The sequence below is a fragment of the Homo sapiens genome, chromosome 11, assembly GCF_000001405.40.
Source record: "Homo sapiens chromosome 11, GRCh38.p14 Primary Assembly".
NCBI lineage: Eukaryota > Metazoa > Chordata > Mammalia > Primates > Hominidae > Homo > Homo sapiens.
In genome coordinates, this window is record NC_000011.10 from 45,666,849 (window position 1) to 45,674,868 (window position 8,020).

Below are 8,020 nucleotides of genomic sequence, written 5' to 3' on the forward strand. Positions count from 1 at the left end.
AGAATGGTTAGCACAGCAGTTTCCTGGGTCAGAGGAACCTGCTGTGTGTTTGCTGGGTGACTTTGTGTGAGTGATCAGCCTCTCTGCGGCTCAGTTTCCTCATCCAGAAGACAGAGGTACTGATCCTCACCCTGTAGGGGTGTTGTGAACACTGGATGGTAATGTGTGTAGAGCATTCAGCAGTGTCTGGCAAGGGGGTGAGTACTTAATAATTGCACATTGTTGCGTTCAGGGTAGCCAGGAACAAACATTCACTCACTCGCCAAGAGGAGAACATGACAGCTGCACTTCCCTGGAGGACTGGGCTCTCGGGTCATCAAGAAGGTCTCCCTCTCTCCACCCAGAGCAGATGGTATGAAGGCCCTTGCCCCAAGGGTCCCACTAGACCAAATGGTCATTTATCTTGGTCACAATTGCAAACTCATAACTATAAACTCCTCTCCCCCATCTCCACCCCCATCAAGCTGGAGGGGCTAACAGCACCTTCCAGTGCGCATTCCTGTAGCCACAGCACCTGGGATGGCAGAGTCAGTCCTCAGTCCTGACTCCAAGGCTACCAAGTCTGTTTCTCCACCTGCCTTCCCCCTCCCCACCCCCACCCAGGGAGTGGCAGCGTACTGAGATGCCTAACAAGAGTGGTGCTGACCTTCCAAAAGCTAAGACTTCATGTTTCCAAATCGTGACTGTCCCTCTATAAAAAACCAAGCTCTAATAGCCTTGGGCTGAGCCATCAGAACCTTCCTTTTCACCCAGAGTTAATCCCTCCCCAAGTTTTCAGGCTGACGAGAATAGTCAGGGTTTAGAGAAAGCTTTCTCTATCTTGCACTACCAGATCCAGCGCCTCATTTTTCAAATTCTGGTGTATTTCGGGTAGAGAGGAGGGAAAAGTACATCTGGCTGACATGAAAAGATTGGTGTGGTTGTAATGTAAAGACAGAGTGGAATTTGGGAAATTTTTGAAGAACATTTAAACTCTAAAAATAGACAAAAGACCCGCTCTCAGAAACACTAGGATTCTGTCTCCCATTTCCTGGAATCCCCCACTTGACAAACATGGGTGTTTTAGGAGTGCCTATGGTGTGGATTGCACTGTGACAGGTGCCGTGGGGAAAAGGGGGAGGGGGAAACAGAAGCAAAGGGCTTGTGCTCAAGGAGTTTGGATCCTACACAATGAAGCAGCAAAGAAAAGTCACTACAAATACAATCAAATACAAAAAAATTTAGCCTTGGAAGTCAGAGGGAGGTGGACCCTTGGAGGGCCATTCAGGGAGGGCTTCCTGGAGGAGGAGAGAGTTGAACTGAGGCTTAAGAGATGGTTGGAATGTAAAAAGGCAGAAGAGCAGGAGAGCCTGTGAAAGGAAACAGCAGCTGGGTGGGCTCATTTATGGGACAGGAGGGAGATTAATATTAGTGGCTAATGTTTGAGGTCTCAAGATGGGCCAGGCACTGTGCTGTTGGCTTTGTGTGAATTATTTTATTTAACTCTCAAAATAACCCCTTGAAGTAACCAATGTCATTCCCGTTTTACAGATGAGGAAACTGAGAGCTGAAAAGTTTAAGCAACTTTCCCAAATTTACAGAGCTGGTGAGCAACAGCGCGCCACAGCAGTCTGGCTTCCACATACCTGGGCACTCTGCTCTGCCACTCTGGCCAGGCTGACTCTAGTGGGGGCACCTGCAGGGAGGAGCTGGAGGTCAGGCAGTCTAGGGAGGCCAATGGCAGGTGGCAGGGCCTTCAGAAGCCCTCAGACAGAGGCATTTCCTGAAATGCAGCCCTCTGGCCTTCCTAGGGAACTCTAAAATGAGATATTCCCTCTTCTCTCGTCTGCATGCAGGTCCCTGAGGTATTTGGAAATTTGTTAAGGGATCTGGGGGGCTCAAGATTCTGGCTTTTTAATATCTTTCAACTGTCCATGTGGAGGCGATCTGTGCCACCCACCTTGTTATTTCAGTCTGTTCTGGGAGATGGATGGCCCAGGCTCTGATTTAAGATCTGCCGCGGCGATCCTCAATTTCCCATGTCTCATGGGGGACAGTGACAAGGCAGCAAGCACACGGAAGACGGCTTAGCTGTGCCCAGACTCCAGGCCCAAGAGCCCACAGCACCTGCAGAAAAAGTTCCAACCAGAAAAACCTGGGCAAAAACAGACAGGCCCAGCAGACCTTTCCCGCAGGTGATGTGGAAACCCATTCATAATAGAGCCGGAGGGGCCCCAGAGGTGAGCTGAACCAACTCCCGTATCTCACAGCTGGGCAAACTGAGGCCCAGAGAAGTTGCGTGACTTACCCAAGGCCATGCAGAAGTGAATTGAGCCTCCAACTGCGTCTCCTTTTTCAGGAAAAGCCCTCTTACTTGCCTCCTATCCCCCACTTCTGCCCTGTTCTGGATGAATTCCTCTTCTGGATGAATCAACCTCTTTGTTGTTGAAATAAAACAAAAAGGTGGGGGCCTTACTTCTGCCAGCCACTGTGCATATGATCCCATTTCCTCCTCTTACCATCCCCATGGGTCAATGGGTCTGAGGTTGCCAGGCTTTGCCAGCTCATGGATTCGGAACACCGCATCTCACTGAAACCCCTTTCCTGCCCCACCAGGTCCTCCAGCCAAAGCCCCTTGAAAAGCTACTTCACCTAGAAGGGTTTCTGTAAATCCCTCAAAGGGACATTAAGTTACTCCCAGACCAACCTGTCACCTGCATTCACCTCTAGCATGTTCTCCGTTCCTGCTCTAAGAAACTGCCAGAGGCAAAGCAGCTACTTAAAGGAGTGCCTCATCCTAGCCTCACCAGGCTTCCCTCATTATGTCCCTTGTTGGGGAGCTAATGTTCAGGCCAAGGGACAAGCCCTGATGCTCCCATAGCTCCAGGCTGAGGCCACCAGAAGCAGGGAGAATGGCATCTTCCCCAACACAGAGGCCCTTGGGCTCCAGGGCCCCCAAAAGCATTGCCACAGTGTCCCAAGGCCTCTCTGCAAACAGCCTATCTGGCTTTGGCTGCAACTTCTAACCCCAGCCTCAAATCCAGGCTGAGAGGCCAGGGAGAAGGGCACCCTTCCCTGTTTATTCTTGGAGCCACAGAAAGTGCTCCTCCTTTCCCAGTTACAGGACCAAATCCCCCAGATAAATTAGAGGATTCCAGCAAATCCTGGCGAGGGAAAACAGAAACTAAGGGCTTGGAAGTAGCCACGCCAGGATTTGAACCCCTATCTTGTGACCCCGTCCCCTGCACAATACACCTGCTGCCCAAACTGCCCCAGCCACCCCAGGGTTCTTGGCCCTCCTGGGACTGGTAGGTGGGAAGGCAGGGAGTGGTCTGTGCTGGGGGAGATTTGATCCTCAGCTCATCAAAGGAGGCTCCACACTCTGGGAGTTTCGTCTTCCTTCCTCTGGCCTCATGGGTCCAGTCCAGAGCTTGCCAAGGTGAGTCTCTTCCAAGACCAAAGGTCTTGGGAGGAAGAAAAGATCAGAGGAAGCCAGATGTCCCTTCCTTCTGAGGAAGGAGCCTGCTCCAGCTAGCCTTTGAGGAAGGGATCCAGCACAGATGCTGACCTTCCTTAACCTACTCTGCTGGCCATTGCCATACTCTCCCCTGTGGCCCGAGAGCCACAGTGAGTGCTCTCATCACCCAGTGCTTCCCCCGGTTCCCCACTAGAGCCTTCCTGCAGTGGAAGTGCAGTGCTGGCCATAGGCCCATGTTCATCTTAGGAAGGTCCCCACCTCCCACTGCCCACCCCAACACACCTGGCACCAGGCTACGTCCTGAGACACCCAGCCACAGGGCCATGAGGAGACAGACTGACCAAAAGCAAACAAGGCCAAAGACAGGCCCCCGACCCTGAATCTGATCTACAAATATGACACAGTGAATATCTCACAGGGCCTGGGGTTGGGGAGGTGATGGGAGTTGGGGGCGGACTGCACAACAGGACCGTGGGCTGCAATTAAAATTCCCATCCCGGGTAATTCCCGGGCCTCCGTGGGGCTGTTTCCATGGCAAGGGAGGCTGGCCCAGGGAAGGCAGGCTCCGTGCAGGGCTGAGCTCCCTCCTCTGCCCCTGCCCACAAAAGCCTCAGCCATGGGCCGGGCAGTTCCGAGCCACATCTGTGATCCAGCTCAGAATGTGGCAAGGTGCAGGCAGAGGCCCAGGAGACAGCCCCTGCTCCCAAACACTGTGGGCAGGTGCCCAAACTGGCAGGGAAGGAAAGGAGGGACAGTGTCTGTGCCCAGGGAGCCACTCCGTGACATGTCCTAAAACAATATGAAGCCACTAGGGCCCTGGCCCTCGAGCAGCCAGGTAGCAGGAAGGAAAAGTCAGGAAGAAACCTTCCACCCTCAGGAAGCGTGCTCCTTGTCTGATAAACCCTTCCCATCACCAGGGTCCTTCAGTACCCCCACTGGCCTCCAGGCAAGGCTCCCCCTATCCTGCCTCCCGCCCACTCACCTCTCACACATCGTCACCCCTAGTCCTCACTCCCTCTTGCCCACACGGGCTCACCACCTGCTGGACCCCAAGGCAGCCCTTTCTGCAGCCCTGGCTACTGCCAAGAAGGCTGGAGGCCCTTCTGGCGTGTTCCCTGCTGGCAGGTGGGGATGAGCAGGCCAGAGTGGGTACACATCTCCACAGGCAGACATCGGAGGTGGTAAGGTCAGGAGAGAGACGCCAGGGCTGTCCCTGAGGCCTCACCTCTGAGGAATCCTGCAGAAGCTCAGTGGGCTGGACAGATAATGTGTAATACCAGTACACAGAACTCCCGCATCTGGAGAGTTTGGCCTGCAGAGGACACCACAGGTCCTGCCTCCTGGGGGGTGGTTCTGGAGCCTGGGTTCCCTGGGAGGGGAGGCCTGCTTCCAGGTGGTTCCCCTGCAGGCTGCTTCCACGGGGCCCTCAGGCTGCCCATACTCATTCATCCCAGGAGGGGAGAGAAGGGGAGACAAGTGAATCTGATTTCACTTCCTTTCTCTCACCTAGTCCCCATTCCTGATCTGCCCCCAGCCTCTCTGCTCCAAGTGCACCATCTGCAGGCGGTCCCAGCCCCTGGCATTCAGGAGCCAGTGGACAGCTTGGAGAATGGGAGGTGTCCTCAGGCACCCTGCCCAGCCCCAGCCTCGACTGGTGCTCTTTCCCTCCTCCCTCTGCGGGAGGAGGGGGAGTGGGTGTCCCCATCAGGTGTGGTCAGCCCTTGGTCAGGAGCCCATGGGCACCTCCCACTAGACAGCCCAGCCCTGGTCAATGCCACACCAGTGGCTCTGGGAACTCAGCCCAGGAACAATGGGGCCATTCACTCAGCCTGGGCTTCACACAATGACCCTCTTGGTCTATCTCCGTGGCTAGACGGTGTGTGAGTGAGAGTGAGTGTGAGTGTGTGTGTGTGTGTGTGTGTGTGTGTGTGTGTAAGAGACAGAGGGGAACTGGAGGTAACTAGAGAGCCCAAACAGAGGCAGGAGAAAGAGTAGCAACCAGGGATTTCATGATATTCATGCCGGTATCTATCCTATGTGCCAGGCACTGTACTGGGTACTTGCATTATCTTCACAACAGCCCTGTGAGTCAGTCCCAATAGAAGCCCCATTTTCAAGCTAAGGAAACTGAGGTAGGGTCATAGAAGTCAGAATAACAGGAACATCTTGGTGGTGGTATCCTCTAGTTTTATTTGGGTGGTGGTCCCATGGGTGCATACTTATGCAAACATTCATTGTGCTGTCCACTGAAGAGTTGTCCATTTTGTTGTCTGTAAATTGCATTTCAGTAAAAAATAAAATAAAAATGATGTTGCGTCAATTGAATTAAATATTACCCATCCCTGATTAAAGAATGAGGAAGCTCTTTGTATGCTAATATGCATCTCCAAGATACACTATTTAATGAAAAAGAGCAATGTGCAAAACATTGTTTTGCAGGTAGTATGCAAACACATATTTTATGTTTGTTATTTATTTATTTATTTATTTATTTATTTATTTATTTATTTATTTTGAGACAGGGTCTCTCTCTGTCACCCAGGCTGGAATGCAGTCATGAGATCATGGCTCACTGAAGCCTCAACATCCCGGGCTCAAGTTATTCAAGTTATTCCTCCCATTCCTCCCATTTCAGCCTCCCGAATAGCTGAGCTTTTTTGTTTGTTTGTTTTTCTTTTTTGTTTTTGGTGAGATGTGGTTTCGCCATGTTGCCCAGGCTGGTCTCAAACTCTTGAGCTCAAGCAATCCTCCTACCTCAGCTGCCCAAAATGCTGTGATTACAGGCATGAACCACCATGCCCAGCCCTGCAAACGCATATTTTAAAATACCATCTATACAAATCTGCTTGTGCATGTAGATTATCTCCAGACAGACACGGAGAAACGATGCTTCCTCTGGAAGAGCAGCCACGTGGCTGAGACAGAGGCAGGAGGAAGACTTTCCACGATATACCCTTTTTCTTAACCCATGGGAGTGTATTACTTATTCAAAAATTAAGTGAAATTAAAACAAACAATAAAACAGTGCCTGAGTTGCTGATTCCAAAGCCATTATATCAATTGCTTCAATGCACTTAATTCCAAAGCAAATGGCCTCTCCACTCCTCCCACTCCTTTCCAGCCCATCTCCCTTCCTCAAACCCAACCAAACTGCACCTGGTTGTGGCTGTCCAGCTGGGGAAAGTTCATGGCTGGTCTCCACAATGGACCCTCCAGAACCCACTGCTGTCTGAGAGCCAGGCAGCTGGGCCAGAGCTAGAGCCCTCAAGAAGCTGCTAACCTCGAGAGCCAAGTGCCCCACTGGCTCCTGAATGCAATGAGTGCCACAGGGTGGCTGACAACTCACTGGGACCTTCCAGCTCAGGGTGACTCCCCAGGTCCCCATGCAGCCCAGTGGTCTCCACCTTACTGTCACTGCCTCCCACGCTCCCTCCATGGGTCAGCAGGCAAACCCAGCCCAGGCCTGGTCATGAGGAAGATCCCAGGTCCAGAGGCATACCGAAAGTTAACAGTCAGGCAATGAGTGCAGCGAGAGGCAGCCTACTAGAGGAATCCAAGGCTTTAGATGACCACAGCTGAGCCTGTGGCTTCTCAAAAAGAGCCAGCTTGGTTTACAGTCCTGGGTTCAAATCCCAGTTCTGCCATTTCCTGGCCACCAGACCTCAGACAAGTAACTTCGTCTCATTGTGCCTCCATTTTCTCATCTACAAAATGAAAACAGTGACACCCACCTGTTGGGATTATTGTGCCAGGGAATGAGATGCTGATGACCCTAAGTCCTGAGCCTGTAGCAGAGTAGGTGAATCTGAAAGAGAAACACTCACCACCACTGAGAACCATGATCTAAGCAGAGCTTTAGAGCAGTTTACAAAGTGCTGCTTGGGCGCAGCCTTCCAGAAGGAGGTGATCGAGAGGAAGGCCCTGCCCCAGCTGGGACCCCAGGTCCCTCCTGGGCTCCTCCCTGACTGTGGGTTGTCAAGAAGGGTGTTGACAGGCCAAGGGGGGCCCAGGATGTTGAAGGATTTGGGAATTTGATTGCGGGTCTTAGGGCTGAGAGGCCGTAAAGCTCATGGGGCCAAGGGGCCATCTCCAGGTATCCAAGAGTTACCATGAAAATAATAATAATAATAATAATAATAATAATAATAACGGGAGTTTGGGAGGGCCAGGGTTCAGTGCAGCATATCACCATCACCTACCTGGCTTTCCTTATCACACCAGATTCCCTGGGGTGAAACTGAGTTGCTTTGAGCAAATCACTGAGCCTCTGAGCCGTATCTGTGCAGATCCCATGGACGTCCACGCCTGCACTCTCTGTGGACTCTCTGTGGACTCTGGTGGTGGCAGCAGTACCTGCCTCCCTCGCTCCCTGGGGTGGTGTCTCATTGCCCTCTGAAGCCCCCACTCGGCCAATATGAAGGGTCACCTCTGTGTCTGGGTCTTATGGTGGATGTGGGAGAGGTGACGATACACAAGCAGCTGCCCCTGCGGTGAAGGAGCTCCCAGGCCAGTGAGGTGGGGGTGGGCAGGGGTGGGGCAGACAGGCCAGAAAGTAAGGAACCA